At 40.6% G+C, this 21,894-nt stretch overlaps 1 protein-coding gene, 1 long non-coding RNA gene and 1 pseudogene across 16 annotated transcripts in view; 2 read left to right on the top strand and 1 right to left on the bottom strand.

The window, feature by feature from the left end:
• Window positions 1-21,894, bottom strand: part of METAP1 (methionyl aminopeptidase 1) — a 67,089-nt gene that overhangs the window by 28,319 nt on the left and 16,876 nt on the right. For 3 of the 12 annotated variants that reach the window (NM_015143.3, XM_017007914.3, XM_011531779.3), the window contains exons 2-3: window positions 5,573-5,624; window positions 149-261 (exon numbers count right to left, since the gene is read on the bottom strand). In NM_015143.3, the coding sequence (NP_055958.2) occupies window positions 149-261; window positions 5,573-5,624 (165 nt within the window). Of the gene's footprint in view, window positions 1-148; window positions 262-2,828; window positions 2,984-5,572; window positions 5,625-11,505; window positions 11,732-11,973; window positions 11,994-12,066; window positions 12,333-14,859; window positions 18,356-21,894 lie in introns of those variants that run through there. The other 9 variants (XM_011531777.4, XM_024453946.2, XM_011531778.3 and 6 more) reach the window with 7 other exon arrangements.
• Window positions 11,336-12,369, top strand: ABT1P1 (activator of basal transcription 1 pseudogene 1; annotated as a pseudogene).
• LOC124900738 (uncharacterized) lies at window positions 12,862-21,011 on the top strand. Of its 4 annotated transcripts, none has more exons than XR_007058198.1 (2): window positions 12,862-13,187; window positions 18,349-21,011. It is a non-coding gene; the product is annotated as an uncharacterized LOC124900738 (long non-coding RNA). The 4 variants fall into 4 exon arrangements; XR_007058200.1 differs by lacking the exon at window positions 12,862-13,187 and adding an exon at window positions 16,071-16,150; XR_007058201.1 differs by lacking the exon at window positions 12,862-13,187 and adding an exon at window positions 16,679-16,745.

Genomic DNA, 21,894 nt, shown 5'->3' with positions numbered 1-21,894 from the left:
ATGCACCGTAAGAGCTCAAGAGCTAAAATTCGAGTTCCTTTGTAAACACAATCCTGATTATATGATTCACTACTGGAAAACAAATTACGAGTATCATTTTTGGAAAATTCAAAATTGGAATGTTGTTTTTATTACCTTATTTACTCACCAGTGGATAATGTGGTCTGAGTTTACCAGTATATCGATAACCTGCCCATGGGTCAGTATTAATATCACCTTCCACAGTCCAGGAAGACACTTCTCGCTTCGCCTTTTCATCTTCTGGGAGACGGAGGAATAGATATGAGAGGAAGGAGGAGAAGGAGGGAAAGGAATGTTTCAGTGGTCAAGCTAATGAGCAGCAGCATACTTTGAATATCTCTTGTTTAAAACCAAGCCAACAAGTCCAGGCACAAAAATCCACCAAACTTTTACCTTAACCTAAATCACCAAAGCAACTGCTTTACTGCTATATTCAAAACCCTTATAACTCCTTTTTGAAGATCTAAAGGTCTTGGAAGAAAAAACTCCATGTAAACATATACTAAGTTTTTACATAATATCGAACAAGAACAGGTCATAGACAGCTTTTCTAAATGTATTCTGACCACATCAATTTATAGAAAGCCCATTTTAAAATATGAAACATAAGCCCTAGTAAAACCTACCCAACTGAGGTCAGATGTTACAAATAAATTATGTTCTTACTAAAAGAACAGATCCCAAGTAATCCCAAAGCAAATTCAAAATCAAAAATAATTATTTCTCACAAAGCTGATCAATTGCTTTCAAGTCAATATTTCAAATTGCTTTGAAAACTTTATGATCATCATTTGCCTCTTTTCAGAAAGGGGTAAAGGAAAGAGGCAGGAAAAAGGCAAAGACAAGGGAGGGAACGGTCTGTTTAAAGTTCAGCAGAAAAATTAAGAATCATATCCATACACACAATCGTGTCAGTTATTAATCTATGTGTGCTGACTGAAATATACGCAAGAATTCTACTCACACAGAAGACACTCTTTGGTGCCTGTGATGTCAACATACTGGCTGCACCTCTTATTCACATAGTAAAATAAAACTCTTATCCACATAGTAAAATAAGACTTTAAGTAGCCGGAATACAAGTCCCTCGTAGACCAAGTATTGGCCTAAACATCTCCCAGTGCACTCAGACCTTTTCCTGATTATTGTCATTCTACCATAGGTTTTAAAAGTCAAACTTCAAACTTGATTTTAGAAGTGTCCGAAAAAAAAAAAAATAAAACTCCCCTCTTAAACAATCTATTTAAAATACAAAATGAAGGAAACTAGATGGAATCTTAAAATGTTAAACTTAGAGAGGATCTTAAAGACAATATAGTGTTGTTTCTTTATTGTACATATGAGGAAACAGAGACTGTGTGGTTCACAAGAGCTGTGACACAAGAATGCCAGCCCCCGTCCAGTACTCTTAAAGAGCATGTGGCTAACTCTGGAAAGGCCCTTAAGGTACAACTGACAAGAATGCAAAAATATGGAAAATCCATTCATATTACTTTGGAAAAGAATATATTTATACTATCACATATAAAGGAATAGAAAGATACCATGCTATTGAATTTTAAAATATCTTTCTCCCCTCTGGAATTCAAGAAAGCCACTGTGAATGTTAATATCAATAGGAAAACTTTCTCCTCACAGGACAAAAACAAACTTCATTCACTGCTAGTTGGGTCAAACATGACAGAAAACAGTTCAAAATGGGGGCCAACTGAGCCTGCTTCAGCTATGAAGTGCATCAAGTGATTTTGTCTGAAACATGAACCTCAAGAATAACTTTCTCCCAAAACCTAGGAGAGAAAAGCAATCAAGACGCAGGCTTTTTGCACTAGCATACTTCTGGGGAGGAGAACAGGAGAAGGTGAGGGTGTAAAAATCCTTTAAAGCTTCCTGTTGCTCTGGATTTTACCCTTCCACAGTTTATATTCAAAAGAGAATTTAGGTACAGGCACAGCAGGTCACGCCTGTAATACCAGCACTTGGGAGGCCAAGGCAGGTGGACTGCTTGAGCTCAGAAGTTCAAGACCAGCTTGGACAACATGGAAAAACCCGTCTCCACAAAAAATACGAAACTTAGCTGGGCATGGTGGTGCACACCTGTAATCCCAACTACTCGGAAGGCTGAGGTGAAATAGAAGGATTGCTCGAGCCCAGGAGGTTAAGGCTGCAGTGAGCCATGATTGCACCACTGCACTCCAGCCTGGGCAACAGAGGAACACCCTGTCTCAAAAAAAAACAAAACAAAACAAAACAAAAAAAAAACGAATGTAAAGCAAACAAATAATATAACCCAAAACTACCAAGACAACTAAAGTTGAATATGGCAAGTTCTCCTCTCATCTCTAGGTACAATTTACTTAACGGAAAATTCACACTTGAAAAGAAAATTCGTTTACATTTTAGGATCAATTTGATCTGAGCCTTAGGTGCTAACCAGATTAACAGACCATTAACAAATCTGAATTGAGCTGATGATGGTAGCACAACTGCATAATAACTAGTCTTTTTGAAAAGACTGTACAACAACAGGGCAGTATAAATATACATTTGTAAGCTGTCTTCCAAACATCACAATGCAACAGTCCCAGGTAAAATGCAGGTAGTGTCATAAGTACGTGATACATGCAAGGTCTGGCCCAAAGTTCATCACAGTCAGGCTTTATTCTTTAAAAAGTTGTATGCAGGCTGCTTCCTCTGGTCAGCTGACACAAAATAACTACAGATGTCTAAGCTTTGCATGGGACAGGATTTTCTGATCAAAATTCTGACTCAAGTCTTCCAGAGATGATTATTAGTTTTTGAGTACTTACTATGCATGGTACACATGCTAAGCACTTCTCATGGATTTCTTTATTTAATCCTCACACAAACCTATGATTCCAGCATCTTGGAGGTGAGACTTAGAATAACCCATGGTCACAAAGTTTGGTGGAGCCAGTTTAAGACATTACATAACACCTTCTCTCTGTAATCCAAAAATCAGGCACACTAGTGTGAATGGGTAGGGGAGTGGAAGGAAAAGTATTACTTAGAGTTCTTTTATTAAATGCGGCTTTTATACCTTAATTTTGGCTATTCAAGATACTTGTCAAATTATTCCACCTTTACTTCAGGAAAATGAGAAACAAACACACTGAATATGTCAGCGATACATTAAAAAGTGTACAATAATACAGTCTTGAGATGTGAAATGCTACAACTTCTACAGATAATACTAAAAGTAAATGCTGCTTAAGGTACACTGTGACAGAAGACACAGTATAAAAAACATGCACCCAAGAATCAGCATTAAGTGCTTTTAATTAAGGACTTTACCATCTGAATGGTCTTCTTTACTATATGACAAGTAAAAAAAAAAAAAAAAAAAAAAACTACCTTTGAGTCATTTATTTAACTCACTTGAAAATTTCCTAAGGCCTGCATAAGAAAATTAAGCTTCTATGATTAAGCAAACTCCAGATCCAGATGTTTCAGTGGTGAATTCTATCAAACATTTAAGAAGAAATAATATCAATTCTACATAATCTCTTCTAGAAAACAGAAGTGGGAAATATATCCCATTTTATTTTAAGAGTCCAGAATTGCTCCAATACCAAAACCAGTCAAATATATTAAAAGCAAATTATAGATCAATATTCCATATGAATATTAATCAGAGATCAGTAGACACTATACTTAAAAAAAAAAAAAAACCTAACTATATCGTCTCCATGACAAGAAATGCTTGCTATGTGTTATCTCACTATCACTTCTTGGACTGAAGTGCTAACTTTAAAGATGCATTGGTTCCTTCCTAGTGCAACATTCTGTTTCCCCAATGCTTTTCCTAATACTCTTCTTGTCTCTGGAGATCACCCTTCCCCACACCATTCCCTCCCTCTAGGACTGTCACTCAAAATTTACTGTGGTCAACTTACTAGGGTATGAAAGATACAGAGCTGGCCACCTAAGGATGATCTCTATCCATCACAGCCAAAGGGATTAAGAACAGCAGGCTCATCCACTGAAAAAAGTTATCCCAAAAGATCCAACAGAGCAATAGCTACAAGATGGCACCATACTAAACACTAGAGGTGTAAGTAAAAATGCAAATAGCCTAAATCCAGTGTTGTAATAATCACCTTCTTTTTACATAGGGAACACTTGCTGTTTATTCCCTTGTAGTGTAAGTCAAAAGGAAATAGCCCTGCCCCTAAATATCCAGTATTGAAGAAACAGGCACACATCAATGAGTTAGCAAATCTGAGGGAGAGGCCGATTTTAAGCTTTTTTACTAACATATTGTTTAACCTCAACCCTTTATTACTTACCAATGCTTTTAACTTCCTGGGTATAAAATGCTAGTAACTGGCTCAAAGAGCTCTGCAAAATACCTAACACATTAGAAACACAGGATGTATGTAATGCATGAATGAATATAGTTAAGTGAGATTATTTAAATCCATCTCTAAATTTTGACAGAGGTAACAAATCAACAAGTCCTATCTTTTATGCGTTGATAAACTTACACTGAGTCACATCATTTTTCCTCATCTCTAACCACATTTCTCCCACAACAGCCTAGCATGTCCATTAAATGTAGATGTCGCTTTATACAACTACAGAAAATTTGTCTTTTTAAAATTTGTATTTCCCTGTTCCTTCAAATGGTGGTTTGGCTGACCTCAATTAGATTTGTTTTGGTAAAAACACACTACATTCAAACTTCATTAAATCAGCTAACTCCTAAAAAAAAAATACACAAGTAGATGAATATAAGACACCAAGATCAGGTATGTAGAAACAGAAACCTTATACCAAGAACAATGTAAATAAATAACCATGTTATTTCCCACTTCAAATTAAATCAAGCTTTGATCCATCAGGATGGCAATGCTATATAGAACAGAAAGCCCTTGTCAACTTTCAGGCAACTGTGACAGGTTGTCTTAAACCAGCCACGCTAATGACATGAATTTACAGGATAAATTAGCTGGAGCAAAAAAGGCAATGTGAATCTCAGCTACATCAGTGTGGCTGACAGTAATAGCTAAGGAGCAGCTAATAGTTTTACTTTGTAGTGTCACACAAAAAACTTCAAAAAAGAAAATTAAACATAAGACTGCAGGTAATAACATTAAAACACCAAAAAACAAAGTAATATAGTTTTGAGTAGAAAAAGCAATACAAATTGAAACTAAAAGAAACCAAAAGGAATCTGGTTAAATGAAGCCAAATCACTCACATAATCCCTGACTACAATATGCAAACACTTCCAGCAACATAACAGTGTGTCAAAAGATGACAGCATCATCAGGTATGGCTCAAGCAAGATCCATCTATACTAACAACTATCTCATGTTTTCATGTTAAATATGTAATACAAGATTAAGATATTATCCAGACATATTTTATTTACATATCACAAAAATTTAAAATATGTCATAATTCTAGTATTCAGGATTATACTTTCAGAACATTCAAATATACACTTTCAGAACTAGAAGAATTCTTGTTTTCTGGCACAAATGCCACTTCTAAGACAAATGGTGTAAAAATTTGTGATTGTACTTACTTGCTTTCTTATGTAGTAACTTGTGAGTAGCCCAACTTCCTTTAAAACATTCCTAAAAGAACAAAAAAGGAAAATTAGTGTCAGGCCTTCCTTAATAAGAAACATTTTAAGGAATATTGTATATAAGCAAGAGTTATTGTAAACTATTTGCAAAAACCAAGACCTGTAACTTTGCGAATTAAATATTTGGGAAAAGCTTAAGAAATGACACCTGTTCAATATTCACTTCAAAAAGCAACCTAAACTTTATTTCAAATAAGCAAGGAATATTAGGCTAAATGTTATATAATAGTCACAGTTATATTTCAATTTTATGTCAACAAACTATTACGAAGTATTTCAAAAGAATCATTAGACAATTAACCAATCATACACTGGAAAAAAACTGCAAGAAAATTTTTGCAGATTCTTTTATTTACAGTAGTTAGATTCCCAATCAGTCATACACACACTAAAATCACCCATGTAAGTAGTTACTATGTGACACAGCCCTGAGGCCATAAGCTGTGTGAGGGAAGGGATGGTATCAAAGTTTACCACTATTGCTCAGAGCCAAGCAGAGTGCCTGGCATGTGCTAGGGTTTCAGTGAATGCTTGACTGAATGATCAGAATTAATGAGTAACTAGAAAGACTTTTCATTTAGGAAAATATGTTCATGTAACATATTTCAGACACTAGTAAGAAGTGGCAAACTGGGAAAATGAATTCAAGTAATTAATTGAATTCAAGTAAGGAACTCAAGTAATAAAGGAAAAGAATAATTCAAACAGACATAGACTTTATTTATGTTTTGAGGTTGATGGCCTCTCCTTCAAAGAGTTCAAAGTTACTCAAATAAATTATTAAAAATGCTAAGAGAATTCACAAAGTCTTACAAATGTGTTATCTTTGTAGACATAAAACTAGTAAGACACGGACAAGAAGAAAGTTAAGGAAAAAAAAAGCACGGGAAAAAAAAATCCCTAGGACTACGTAGTTAACCAAATCATATTACACTAAAGCTGCCTTCTGTAAAGGTTTGCCCAAGGGACTCTGAAAGATCAGTTTCTCCAACCTCAGCTAGAATCTTCACTACTTTCTCTTTACTCTTTCTGTAGCCTCCACAGCCCGCAACAGTTAAGCAAAGAAAATCCAGGTCATCCCTATCTCTACAACCTACAACCTAAACAAATTCCAAATGTATAAAAAGGTATCTACAGCATTAGAGATTTTTCAGTTTTGAAGCTAAAACTGAGCTCAGTCTTTTGGGGAGGTTGGGTTAGTCTGGTAAGCAGAATAATGGCACTTCAAAGATGTCCACTTCCTATTCCTCAGAACCCAAGGAATGTGTAAATATAAATATGTTAGGTTATATGACAAAGGCGGGGGGGGGGTGACCTCTTGTCCCTTCCCTGAGTTTTCATTAACTGAACTCATACCGCAGGAAGAAAGACTAAAGTCTGTCAACACACCTGGAAGGACTTTTCACAAACCATGTCTGTTCTGCAGGCCTAAAAGACTGTCCCAGGCCACTTGTCCTTGAAGCCCACTGAGTTCCCCTAAAAATCATTTACAATCCCCATAAAAACATCCACATTTCCCCATCTCCTTTTCCCCTAAGAAGTAGGGTAATAAGCATCTGTACCCCAGTGGGTTATTAGACAATCATTCTGTGATTCTTCCCCATGCACACTAATAAATTTGTATACCATTTCTCCTATTAATCTGGTTTTTGTAAGTTGATTTTTCAGTGAACCTTCAAAGGGCAAAGGGGAAATTTTCCCTTGGGTCTACACAGCCATCATTAACTAATATTTTGAAATTCAGTATATTCATTGAAAAGTAGCTACTCAAATAGCCTTGTATTCTCCTCAGAGGATTTCAGAGTGCTTTATACTTGGTTCATGAAACATTCATCAAATTCTTAGCTTTTTAACAAGAGGGCTGATAGAATTATTCTCATTAAATAAACTAAGGACTTGTCTCACAAAACAGATTCATTAGCTAAGGGCTTGTATTTCAAGATATATGAGCATAAAGTAACCAAAATATTCATAATAAACACCTCTCACCTCTTTAAGGACACCCATCTTTATCTTCCTTACTGGGGCCATGAGGCAACCAAGTCATGGTCTTCAACATCATTAATGGTGTCAAAATATTCCCACATCTCCTAAGAACTCTCTAAGCCTAAATAATGTGCCTTCTCTAAACCACAACTTCACTCTTTTTCTTCCTCTTATTCCCCAGTAGAAGAGGAATACTCAAAATCCTGAAAGACTATCCATTCTCTGAAGAGTTAATTTCTGACTCCTTAACAGGGCAATCTTTCCCTCCTCATCTCTAACAAATGAACCAAAGACCTAACTAACCTAGATTTAGAGGTCCCCAGGCAAACACCACACTTCCCAATCTCTTCCCTTTGTATAACCTGACCTACCTAATCCTAACACTCACCGTTATAACTACGTCCTCAGAAGCTTTACCCATTCCATTAGGTCGTTTCAAATGCTACTTTCTCTAAAAAATGTCCACACTTCACTCCACACACAAGCTTAACATGTCACATGTACTTATTCAATACTCGCTGAACAGCACTTTGTTTTACTACTTTATTCTCCACTTATTTAATAACACCAAAGCATTATTATAACTAGTAGGTAAAACTTTAGTTTTCAATCCAAGACAACATGCTTTTTTCTTTAGCACCAACAGGAATTTACTAAATTTAGGAGCTTATGAACCCAAAATATCTGAGACAGGTCTCAGTCACTTTAGAAAGTTTATTTTGCCAAAGTTAAGGATGCACCAGTGACAGCCTCAGGGAGTACTGACAACATGTGCCCAAGGTGGCCAGGGTACAGTTTGCTTTTATGCATTTTAGGGAGACATAATACATCAATCAATACATGTAAGACTTAACTGGTTCCATCTGGAAGGGTGGGACAACTCAAAAGTGGGGAAGGAGCCTTCCAGGTGACAGGTAGATTTAAACATATTCTGACTGGCAATTGGTTGAAAGTGTTATTATCTGTAGAAAGGAATGTCTGGGTTAAGACAAGGGGTTGTGGAGACCAAGGTTTTTACCATGCAGATGAAGCCTCCAGGTAACATAACAGGCTTCAGAGAAAATAGACTGTAAATATTTCTTATCAGACTCAAGCTCTGTGTTGATGCTAATGCTGGAAGGGTATAATGAGGCACGTCCAAATCCCACTTCCAGTCATGGCCTGAACCAGTCTTTCAGGTTAGAGTGCCCTGGCCAAGGAGGGAGAGTCCATTCAGATGGTTGCTGGGGGCCAGGGTGGTTGGCAGTTCAAATTTTATTTTTTTGGTTTACAAGCTAAAATGGGATAGTGTGGTTCTCAGCTCTGGCTCCTCATTAAAATCCTGTGAAATGCTTTTCTTTACAAATAAATAGCCATGTTATTCCCCACTTCAAATTCAATCAGAATCTCTGGGAATTTGCTATGTAGGTAATTCTTATTTATTTCCAGTACTGTGAATCACTGAAAAGAGTCAGAGTTAAGAGAAGGTGCTCTCATTTCACTTCTAGAACAAGTTATTTCCTACTGAAATCGCTACTGCAAAATTATAACTCAAACAGTGAAAGAGATCTGACCTAACCAACTCTGTCTTGCTTCTAACCTCCAAGCTGTCCTTGTTCATTCCTAGGCATAGGCCAAACTTGTTCATTCCTGGGCACAGGCCAAACTAACTTTGGGAAAAACTTAGTTTATAGTTTAAAACAGGGGTCCCCAAACCCCAGGCCATGGACTGCTACTGGTCAGTGGCCTGTTAGGAACCAGCCCACACAGCAGGAGGTGAGCAGCAGATGGGCTGGCATTATTACCGCATTACCGGGTGGAGCCTGAGCTCCACCTCCTGTCAGATCAGCAGTGGCATTAGATTCTCATAGGAGCGCACAAACTCTATTTTGAACTGCACATGCAAGGAGCCAGGTTGCACACTCCTTGTGAGAATCTAACTAATTCTCGAAGATCTGAGGTAGAACAGTTTCATCCTGAAACCATATCCCCACCACCCCCAAGTCCATGGAAAAATTGTCTTTCACAAAACTTTTCCCTGGTGCCAAACAGGTTAGGAACCACTTAAAACAAAGACAATAACAGCTCTTTCACAAACCAAACCCTTCTTCCTGGAGACCAGACTGCCTTTGTGGGACTAACAAATTAGCCAAAAGATTAGAAATTATGTTTCAGGAGTCATGCAGCTGGAGGCTACAAGATTCTGACCCTCCCCAAATCGCCCCTGGGGATAACAACACTATTGTAAAACCTAAGATCAGTGCTTGAAATATTTTGCAGACTCTGCACTTGATGGATCAGCTGCCATCACCCAGATCAGTAAACTGGCTCATGTGGTCTTGTGGCCCCCACCCAGGAACTGACTCGGCACAAGAGGACAGCTTTGACTCTCTATGATTTCATCTCCGACCCAACCAATCAGTACTCCCAACTCACTGCCCACCCCCCAACCAAATTATCCGTAAAAACTCTGATCCCCTTGTAGCAGGAAGAGCCACAGACAAAACCCCTCAGACACCAAGTTAAAGAAGGAAGGGGTTTATTTGGCCAGGAACATCGGCAAGACTCCTGTCTCAAGAGCCGAGCTCTCCAAGTGAGCAATTCCTGTCTCTTTTAAAGGCTCACAACTCTAAGGGGGTCCGCGTGAGAGGGTCATGATCAATTGAGCAAGCAGGGGGTACGTGACTGGGGGCTGCATGTACCGATAATCAGAACACAACAGAACAGGACAGGGATTTTTACGATGCTTTTCCATACAATGTCTGGAATCTGTAGATAACATAACCAGTTAGGTCAGGGGTTGATCTTTAACTACCAGGCCCAGGGCGTGGCGCCGGGCTGTGGGCTTGTAGATTTCATTTCTGCCTTTTAGTTTTTACTTCTTTCTTTGGAGGCAGAAATTGGGCATAAGACAATATGAGGAGTAGTCTCCTCCCTTACCCAAACGCTCGAGGAGACTGATTTGAGTAATAAAACTCCCATCTCCCACACAGCTGGCTCTGCATGAATAAGTAACTCTTTCTCTACTGCAATTCCCTTGTCTTGATAATCAGCTCTGTCTAGGCAGCAAGCAAGATGAACCCATTGTATGGTTACACTACTTTAGTATCTATCAAATTAACCAGTGCAACTAACTCCCACCTTATTTTAGGCCCCACTGACTTGCCAAACTACAACGGCTTCACAACATATCTCCCCATCTTGAACCTCTCTCAAATTCTTTCCTATTCCAAACCATCCTAAAGTAGTGGCTAGAATTAACATTAAATGGTTTTCATAATGTGACCACCCATAATGTGTCCTATTACCTTAAGATCCTGTATTACCTCTCTCTCTTTTCCACCATCTCAAATCTAACATCAATTCATGTTGATGAGAGTGTGAGCAAATAAGCACACCATACAATGTTAGAAAGAATGCTGAGTAGTCACCTGGTAACTAAAAGGATTTGTATGTATCAAGATATAACATATATATAAATACTTACAAATACTTAATATATAAACACATATGCAAAGACAAAAAAAAATACTTTGACCCAGTAGCTCAATTCCAAATAGTTAACCAAAGGAAATAATCTGACAAACGAGCAAAACATATGCAACTTAATGCTCACTATAGCATTACTTACTATTGTGAAAAAGAGAATTTAGATATACATCAATATAAAATAGGTTAAATTGTGATTTAACCATGCAAATGAATCTATGCAGTCATTAGAAGTAATGAAATTAGGTCGTGCTGCTCGTGTCAGTCAACACGGAGGCAGAGGAATCGGAGAAGGCCGCAACAGAGCAAAGGCGCTGGAAGGGACAGACCAGACACTAGATGTGGAGGAGGAGCAGGAGGAATCCAAAGCAGCAGCCTGTGGCAGCAAGAAGCGGGTAGTGCCAGGTATTGTGTACCTGGGCCATATCCCACCACACTTCCAGCCCCTACATGTCCGCAACCTTCTCAGTGCCTATGGTGAGGTCAGATGCGTTCTTTCAGGCTGAGGACTGGTTTGTGAGATGCAAAAAGAAGGCAGCAGCAGCCGTGGGAGGGAAAAAAGCAGTACCACAGCAAGGACTACACAGAGGGATGGGTGGAGTTCCGTGACAAGCGCATAGCCAAGAGTGTGGCGGCCAGTCTACACAACACGCCTATGGGTACCCACAGGTGCAGCCCCTCCCATTATGACCTATGGAATCTCAAGTACTTGCACCATTTCACCTGGTCCCACCACAGCGAGCACCTTGCCTTTGAGCGCCAGGTGTGCACACAGGCAGCACCTGAGAGTGGAGGTCACTCAGGCCAAGTGTGAGACCATCTTCTATCTTCAAAGTGTGGAATGGGGACAATGCTTTCTTGCTGTTGATGGGGATCTTGCTCACCCAGATGGCTCCTGGACATTTGCCCAACGTCCTACTGAGCAGGAACTGAGGGCCCGGAAAGCAGCACAGCCAGTAGGGTGTGAATGGGCTCACCTGGCAACTGCCTAGGACAAGGCCCACTCCAACAAAGCACTCCTGGCCAGGATCTTTGGAGCCCCGCCACCCTCAGAGAGCATGGAGGGATCTTCCCTGGTCAGGGACTCCTGAGGGCAAGGGAGGCCCCTTCCATCTCCTGGCCCTGCTCTGTTTCCTGTCTACCTCATAATAGAATGATCATGACTACCCAGGCAGACATTTTATTGTGTTTCTAGACCAGTGTCTCTGGTGAGGGCCCAAACGTGGAAGTTTTGTGGGCTTCCACTATTCCCCCATCTAAACTCCTATATATGCCTGGCTAATTCATACTGTCATACTAGCATGATTATGACTACTGCATATGCTTGTTTTGACTCTTGGTTGCCTACTGCTATAGGGTCCTCTTGGAATCTCACTTCCTGCCCCCAGGAAGGGCCTTGTAAGGCATGAAGAAGTTCTTCTACAAAGTTTCTTAAATCCATAAAGGATTTATCATTCCCCGGTTAAATGTTAGGATGTGTATATTCCCAGGCTGCTCCAACTTGTTCCAGTAGGTTGAGATAAGGCTAAATGAGTCCCAGATTAGGATACATGCCATTCCTTATTTGGGAACCCCTCTGACCTCTCATCACTAACTTCCTCTTTTCTTTGTCCTTTTTCCCTTCTTCCTATTTAGGAAAGTTTTAAATTATTACCCAACCCAGTTAAGTTTAGAGTGTGAGGTCCCATCCCAGCCAATGGGAACGGGACACAGCCATAGGGGATTGTGTCAGGATGTAAAGGTTATAAATGTCCCTGTCTCCTTTGTTTGGTGTGCTCTCGTGGCTGGACTGCTGGTGAGTGTACCCTTTCTGCAGAAAGTAAACTAGCCTTGCTGAGAGATCCTTTGTCTCGGTGTTGATTTCTTTACAACATCAAATTCCCGTGCCCATCAATTTTGTGGCTCGTATGGGGACACTGTTTCCCCTCCAGTCCTTGGCCCTCTCTTGTGGGGAGGCACCCAGCTGCCCTGCTGCAGCAGCCCCAGGGAGATAGCCAGGGCTCACCCAGTAAGAGGAATACATCTGGATTCTCAGCAATGCAGGGGACAAGGAGACTTTTAAAACCGCGGGACCAGGAGACCTCGTGCATGAGCCAAGGTAGGAAAAACTGCTAGAGGGTGGCAAAGTACTTCTTTGGTGGTCCTTCCTTGAAGGGTTGTGTGATGTATGTGAGTGAATGACTGTGGTTGAGAGAAAGTGACTGTAAGAGGAATGTGGATTATCTTCAGAACAGGGAACAGAGGGGAGAAAGTTATCTCCAGGGAACTGAGAATACAGGCAATAAGAAACTAACACTAAAAAGGGGAAGGCTAATCCCCAGGGAAAAGGAGTAAATACATTTGAGCAGACAAGATATCCCTGAGCTGGAGGATCTGGGGGATTGAGTCTACTGGGAAAAAGTCTCACCCAACATGGGGAATACTTCTAGTAGGCCTGCAACTGGAAACAAGGCCAGAGATGAAGGAGGCAAGAAAGACTGAATCCCTCCTGATAGTCCTTTAGGACTTATGCTTACACACTGGAAAGAAAATGAAAGGACTAAATATAAGAAAAAGCAACTAATGATCAAGTATTGTTGCTTTCTGTGGACCCAAGAGCCAATTTTAAAACCTGCTGTTTTCTGGCCAAAATATGGCTCGAATGAAGACTGGGTCTGCCAGCTTCTAATACTGTATGTTAATAGCAAAAGTTGTATGTCTTCAGAAGAGATACACTATGCCATGTGCTGGCAGCTGGGGCCAGTTTCTCTTTATCCCCTAAGGGATCTGAAGCAAGGGATGGAGGAGGGTAAAAAGAGAATATCCAGTGGGATCCCCTAAACCATCTTCCTCCTTTTCTAGTCCCGCCTCCTCCTCCTCAGGCAGCAGTTAGTCCCACCTCCTCCTCAGGTGGTAGTCCCGCCTCCTCCTCCTCAGGCTCCGGAGGCAGAAGTCTCTGATATCTCCTTAAAAAGAGGGCTTCAGAGAGAGATAGAACAATGTAGAAGGGATATTCAAAATTTTCCCTTTCCCTGCGCTTCCGAAGAGCTGGCTTCTCAGCTCTTCCCTCTAATGGAGGTGCCACAGGGTAGGGGTACAACTGGATTCATGAACGCCCCTTTAACCACCTCTGAAGTCCGAGGTCTAAAGAAAGAGCTTAAGCCTTTGCTAGATGACCCAGAGAGAGTAGCAGAGCAAATTGACCAGTTTTTAGGTTCCAAACTATATACTTGGACTGAATTAATGTCAATCCTGGGTATCCTCTTTTCAAAGGAAGAGCGGAACATGATCTGCAGAGCTGCTATGGGGGCCTGGGAACGTGATTACCCTGCCGGTCAAAATATTCCGGCAGCGGATGTTACATTTCCTGCTCGGGACCCACAATGGAATAATAATAATGCTGCTCACCAGAAGAATATGAGGGATCTACAAGAATTAATTATAAAAGGTATCAAGGAGTCTGCACCCAGACCCCAAAACCTCACTAAGGCCTTTGATGAACAACAAGAGAAAGATGAGGGACCTATGCACTTTTTAGACTAAGGGAGCAGATAAGAAGGTATGCTGATTTAGATCCTGACAGTCCACTAGGACAAGGTATGTTAAAATTACATTTTGTTACCAATAGTTGGCCAGGTATCGCGAGGAAGCTACAAAAGATAGAGAGGTGGAAAAATCAGTCAATTGAAGAACTTTTAGCAGCAGCAGAGAAAGCATACATGAGAAGGATGAAGACAGACAAAAACAAAAGGCAAAAATTTTTTGGCAGATTTCACTAGGACCAAATATACCTGGGATGAGATTTTGACCAGTGTCCAGGGGTGCCATCTCACAGAGAGGCAGGGGTCGAGGTTGAAATGGAACATGAGAAGACCACAGCATATGTCATAAAGGGTGGAGATGTAGAGCAGATGAAGAGAAACTAAAACAAAGGATCTCCAGAATAGAACAAGAAGGGGGACAAGATAGGTATTATAAATGTGGAAAAACAGGCCATTTTAAGAGAGAATGCCCTGACCTAAAGGCCACAGAGGAAATTCCTCCTCTCATGCCAACCTTCAGAGAGGAAGAATACGTGAGTCAGGGGCTCTTTCTTTTCCACCTTGAGTCCCATCAAGAGCCCTTGATAAATTTGGAGGTGGGACCAAACCATTAACTAATAACATTCCTCATTGATTCTGGAGCTACTTGTTCTTCCTTACGCTTTTCTCCAAGTGGCCTCAGCTGTTCTCCAGAAGAGCTACTATTATCTGGGGTGAAAGAAGAGAGGTTTAAGGCCAAAATCCTAGAAGATATAGAAGTCAGATACAAAAATGAGGCAGCTAATATTCAATTTCCATTAATTCCTGAAGCAGGCACTAATTTGTTAGGAAGAGACTTAATGCTAAAGTTAGGTCTTGGACTGCAAGTAGGGCCAAAGGGGTTCCTTCCCTCTCTCCACCTGCTAACTACTGTTGATGAGAGGAAAATTCATCCGGATTTATGGTCAAGAGAAGGAAAGCAAGGGAGTTACGGATTCCCCTGATACAAATACATTTAAAGGTTCCAAGGGGGAGTAGCCCGGAGAAAGTAATACCCGATCTCCCTGGAAGGCCGGGTAGGACTAAAACCTGTGATTGAAGGCCTTATTAAAGATGGACTTTTAGAGCCTTGCATGTCTCCGTATAATACCCTTATCCTACCTGTCAGGAAGCCTGATGGATCCTACCTATTAGTACAAGATCTCAGAGCTATAAATGAAATAGTTCAAACCACTCACGCTACTATGACAAATCCATATATTAACCTTAGTAAAATTCTGTAAAGTCATCAATGGTTTACTGTAATAGACTTAAAGGATGCTTTCTGGGCACGTCCTTTGGCTGAGGACAGCCAAGATCTATTCACATTCAAATGGGAGGACCCCCATACAGGACAGAAGCAGCAGTACCGGTGGATAGTATTGCCCCAGGATTTGAGGATTCACTGAATATTTTTACTCATGCTCTAGATAGGATTATTAGAAAGACAGACACTCCACCACATTTACAATTAATCCTATATATGGATGACATACTTATATCTGGAGAAGATATAGAAAAAGTAAGTGAATACTCTGTGTACTTCCTGAATCATTTATACTCTAAGGGACTGCGGGTCTCCAAAGAAGAGCTCCAATATGTAGAAACAGAAGTTAGACATTTAGGTCATCTAATTAGCACGGCCAAAAGGAGAATAGGACCTGAACAGGTCGAGGGAAATGTCTCCTTGCCCCTGCCTCAAACAAAACAGGAACTTATTTCTGGGATTGACTGGATACTGTAGATTATGGATTGATTCTTATGCATTAAGAAGTAAATTGCTTTATGAGAAATTAACTAAAAATAGGCCAGACCCACTTATAAGGACTTCTGATGAAGTAGACCAAATAAATGAATTAAAAGCATGATTAATATCTGCCCCTGTTTTAGCCCTGCCTTCTTTAGAAAAACCCTTTCATCTTTTTGTTAGCACAGACAATGGAGTGGCCCTTGGAGTACTCACTCAACAACATGGAGACCACCGGCAACCAGTTGCCTTTCTGTCCAAAGTCTTAGATCCAGTTGCCAGTGGCTGTCCCCAGTGCATCCAGTCTGTGGCAGCCAATGCCATATTAGTGGAAGAAAGCAGAAAGATTACCTTTGGGGGATACTTAACAGTAAGTACACCCCATAAGGTCAATGTCATCCTAAATCAAAAAGCGGAAAGATGGCTGACTGATTCTAGGATTTTAAAGTATGAGGCTATCCTATTAGAAAGAGATTATCTAACTATAACCACTGATAGTTCACTTGACCCTGCCGGATTCTTAAGAGGGAATCCATTGCTGCAAACAGAACATTTGTATCTAGATTTAATTATGATACCAAGGTATGACCAGACCTATCTGAAACCCCTTATAAAACAAGACAACATTTGTTCCTAGATGGGTCCTCTCGGATGTTTGATGGAGACAGGCACAGTGGATATGCTGTGGTGGATGGAGAAACTCTTGAGGAAACTGAATCGGGGCAATTACCTGATAACTATTCCGCCGAAGGCTGTGAACTATTTGCTCTCAGTCAGGCCCTTAAATATCCAGAAAATGAGATAGGAACACTTATACAGGCTGTAAGTATGCTTTTGGGGTAGCGCATACATTTGGAAAAATTGGGGCAGACAGAGGCCTGATGAACAGCCAAGGCCAAAAGCTTGCTCATGAGTCATTAGTGACTTGTGTTTTAAATAATCTCCAGCTACCAGGAGAAATAGCTATTGTACATGTCCCTGGACACCAGCATGACTTTTCATTTGAAAGTCGAGGTAATAATCTTGCAGATCAGGTAGCCAAAAGAGCAGCAATGGCTGTGAAACAAATATTTCATCTAACTCCCTCCCTCCTCTCCCCCAAATTAGCTCCTATTTTCTCTTCAGCCTAAAAGGAAAAACTAAGCGAAATGTGGGCTAAAGAAAATACAGAAGGGAGATGGATTCTCCCAGATCAGAGAGAGATGCTCTCCAAACCCCTTATGAAAGAAGTTCTGTCCCACTTACACCAAGGAACATGCTGGGGCCCTCAGGCCCTATGTGACGCTGTCCTCAGTCTATGGATGTACTGGGATCTACACCCTGGCCAGACAGGTCACTGACAGCTGCATTATCTGTAAGAAAACTAATAAGCAGACCCTAAAGAAACTACCTCTAGGATGAAGAACACCTAGGCTAAGACCATTCCAAAGTGTTCAAGTTGATTATATTGAAATGCTGCCAGTAGGCTAAAATACCTATTAGTGATAGTAGACCACATCACTCATTGGGTAGAGGCCACTCCTTTCTCAAAGGCCACTGCCAGTAATATAGTGACGGCCTTAATTGAACATATTATACCCAGGTTTGGATTAATAGAAAATGTTGACTCAGATAATGGGACCCACTTTACGGCACACATTATGATAAAACTGGCCCAGGTGCTGGACATAGAATGGGAATACCACATTCGGTGGCACCCCTCCTCCTCCAGGAGAGTAGAAAGAATGAATCAGACAAGTCATCTAACTAAATTTTAGAGACTCATCTACGATGGACCAAATGCCTCCCTATTGCTTTATTCAGAATCAGGACAGCTCCCCGAAGAGATACAGGTTCATCCCCCTATGAAATGTTATATGGATTGCCTTACTTACATTCCTCAGCTGATGTGCCTACCTTTGAAACCAAAGATCAGTTCCTTAGAAATAACATATTTGGACTCTCCTCTACTTTTTCTTCCCTTAAAACCAAAGGTCTTTTAGCACAAGCACCACCCTTGGAATTCCCAGTACAATCGCATCAGCCTGGAGACCACGTCTTCATAAAGGGATGGAAGGAAGGAAGGCTCGAGCCAGCCTGGGAAGGATCCTACCTCATGTTATTGACCATCGAAACCGCAGTTCGCACTGCCGAGAAGGGGTGGACCCATCACACTCGAGTCAAGAAAGCGTCGACACCCTCAGAATCCTGGATTGTGGTCCCCGAGCCAAGTCCCACCAAGTTAAAATTAAGAAGAACCTAACATACCTTTATTTCTATTTTTCTTTCTTTCCTCTCACTATCTCTCATTTTATTATTAACATAACTAGATTGGAATCATCTCAAGTGATATCCTTTGATGCTTGTCTAGTGATGCCATGCGGGGACCTACATAACCAAAGGCAACTAGCCTCTTCAGAAAAATATCTATGTCCTGGTCCCCCATTTAATCTAACAGTCTCTCACTCCCATAGATGCGATCAATTAAAGCCAAGACGCCGCTTCTTCATTCCCACCGAATGGCAGCCTTGCAGCAGTTGGAATAATGTTCTATGGACCACTCAATACAGAGGCTGGACCTCTACAGGAGGGGTTTGTACTGAGCTTAGGCCTAATCTTTATTTCACATAAGGAAGCATTTCCCCTGATTGTAAGCTTTATCAGTGTAACCCTATTCTTAATTCTAATATAGATAATCAGCCAGCTATCGGCCATCTCTACGGTATTGGGCAAATGTCAAAGGGGAAGGATCCGATAGGGAGGTTTGAAATACGCCTTCTCCCTCTTCCTCCTTTCCCTTCTCCAACCCCAGTAGTCTCGGCTTTAAATCAAACTTCTATTATCCCAATTAGTCCTTTACTAAATGATAAGACAAAAGCATCAGTAGTACAAGTAAATGACTTAAAGCAGACTTAAGCTATTGAGACAGGGTATCAAGATGCAAATGCCTGGTTAAAACGGATTAAATATTCTGTCCACACTCTAAACAAAAGCGACTGTTACACTTGTGCACACGGTAAGCCAGAGGCCCAGATTGTCCCCTTTCCACTTAAGTGTTCTTCACATGCGACGGATTTGGAGTGTGTGGTAGCTCTCTTTCAAGATTCTACAGCCTGGAATGATGAATCTTGCCAAGCTCTCTCTCTGCTATATCCTGAAGTACAACACCCTGAGGGTCAGCCCCCGAGGGCCATTCAGCCTCCATCTTCCAGGGCAGAGTTTGCCTCATGCCTCTCACAGCAGGAGGAGAACTCAATATTCCTTGGAAATTTCACAGGATGCAGGGAGGTAAGGCACTTCTAAGAGCTAACCCATGAGGCCTCCATCAGCCATCCTTGAGTGGGACATATGGTGGTAATGTCGGGGGGCACTTACTGGATACTCTGCCATATAACTGGAATGGTACTTGCACTCTAGTCCAATTGGCTATCCCTTTTACCCTGGCATTTCATCAACAAAAATAGGAAACACCCCACCACCAACACACTACAAGAGCTCCTTACAGATCCTTTGATCCTCATATCCACCTAGATGCGACAGGTGTTGCAAGGGGGGTTCCTGATGAATTTAAGGCCAGAGATCAGATAGCTGCTAGACTCGAGTCAACGTTATTTTGGTGGGTCACGATAAACAAAAATGTAGACTGGATAAACTATATTTACTATAATCAACAATGATTAGTTAACTACACCAAAGTGGTCAGGGGAATTGCAGATGAATTAAGATCTACTAGCCAAATGACACAGGATAACAGAATCACTCTTGATATGATGCTAGCTGAGAAAGGTGGTGTTTGCGTAATGATTAAGACCCAATACTGCACGTTCATTCCAAATAACACAGCCCCAGATAGAAGTATAACAAGAGCCCTAGAGGGACTTACTGCTTTATCAAACAAGCTAGCTAAGAACTCTGGCATAAATAACCCATCTCTAGCTGGCTAGAAAACTGATTTGGAAATTGGAAAGATATCTTAACCTCAATCCTCACTTCCTCTATAACTGTGTTAGGTATACTTCTACTTATTGGATGTTGTGTCATACCCTGTATTCGACGGCTTGTACAAAGGCTCATCAGTACAACCCTTAATAATCTATCCTCTGCCTCTCCCCCACCCTATTCGGAAAGGTTGCTTTTATTAGGGGATCAAGCCAAACAACAAAGCAGAGACTTGCTAGACAAGTTTGAAGAATTATAAAACAAAAAGAGGAGGGAATTGAAAGGAATGGAGAAGTTCCTCAAAGTTTCTTAAATCCATACAGATTTATCATTCCCCGGTTAAATGTTAGGATGTGTGTATTCCAAGGCTGCTCCAGCTTGTTCCAGTAGGTTGAGATAAGGCTAAATGAGTCCCAGATCAGGATACATGCCATTCCTTATTTGGGAACCCCTCTGACCTCTCATCACTAACTTCCTCTTTTCTTTGTCCTTTTTCCCTTCGTCCTATTTAGGAAAGTTTTAAATTATTAACCAATCCAGTTAAGTTTAGAGTGTGAGGTCCCATCCCAGCCAATGGGAACGGGACACAGCCATAGGGGATTGCATCAGGATGTAAAGGTTATAAATGTCCCCGTCTCCTTTGTTTGGTGTGCTCTCGTGGCTGGACTGCTGGTGAGTGCACCCTTTTGGCAGAAAGTAAACCAGCCTTGCTAAGAGATCCTTTGTCTCAGTGTTGATTTCTTTACAAGATCAAACTCCCATGCCCAACAGCCTTTATTTCCAACTAGGGGAATAATGCCTAGTCCAGGCAATATTTTTCTGTTTAGCAGTCACAGGTGAGGGTGGTATTAGCATCTTTTTTAGTAGAAAAAACTGACAGTTAATGGGGTGGACTGGGTTGGGAAGAAATAATTTCTTCCAAATGTATTTATAGAAAATAAAAATATTTTCATAAAAGAAAGAAGTAATGAAATTAATCTTACATGTGCAAAGAAGTCTACAATGTCTTAGGTTTTAAAAAAATAGGTAAGTTAGAAATGTGAAAAATCCACAAATATGTGGAAATGAAACATACTCTCAATCCAATGTGTCAAAGAAAAAGTCACAAGGGAACTTCAACACAAATAAAAACAAAAACATTTAGTATGCAAAACTTACGGGATGCATAGTAAGAACCTTGGTCTTCACAATCCCTTATTTTAATCCAGACACTCCTTTCTATTAATTCCAGTCCCCTAGATAATAAGTTGCCTCTTTCAACCAACTGCTAATCAGAAAATCTTTGAACCCACCTATGACCTGGAAGACCCCACTTCAAGTTGTCCCACCTTTGCGGACCAAACTAGTGCACACCTTACATGTACAGATTAATGTCTGCCTGTAACTTCTGTCCCCCTAAAATGTATAAAATCAAGCTGTAACCCAACCACCTTGGGTACATGTTTTCAAGAACTCCTGAGGCTGTGTCACAGACCTTGGTCGCTCTTATTTGGCTCAGAATAAACCTCTTTAAATCTTTAAAAAAAAAAAAAAAAAAAAAAAAAACTTTATGGGATACAGCCAAAGATGTTTTAAAAGGAAAGTCTACAGCTGTAAACATA

Source organism: Homo sapiens, chromosome 4, assembly GCF_000001405.40.
Source record: "Homo sapiens chromosome 4, GRCh38.p14 Primary Assembly".
Classification (NCBI taxonomy): Eukaryota; Metazoa; Chordata; class Mammalia; order Primates; family Hominidae; genus Homo; species Homo sapiens.
This window is presented reverse-complemented; position numbering and strand designations above follow the sequence as displayed.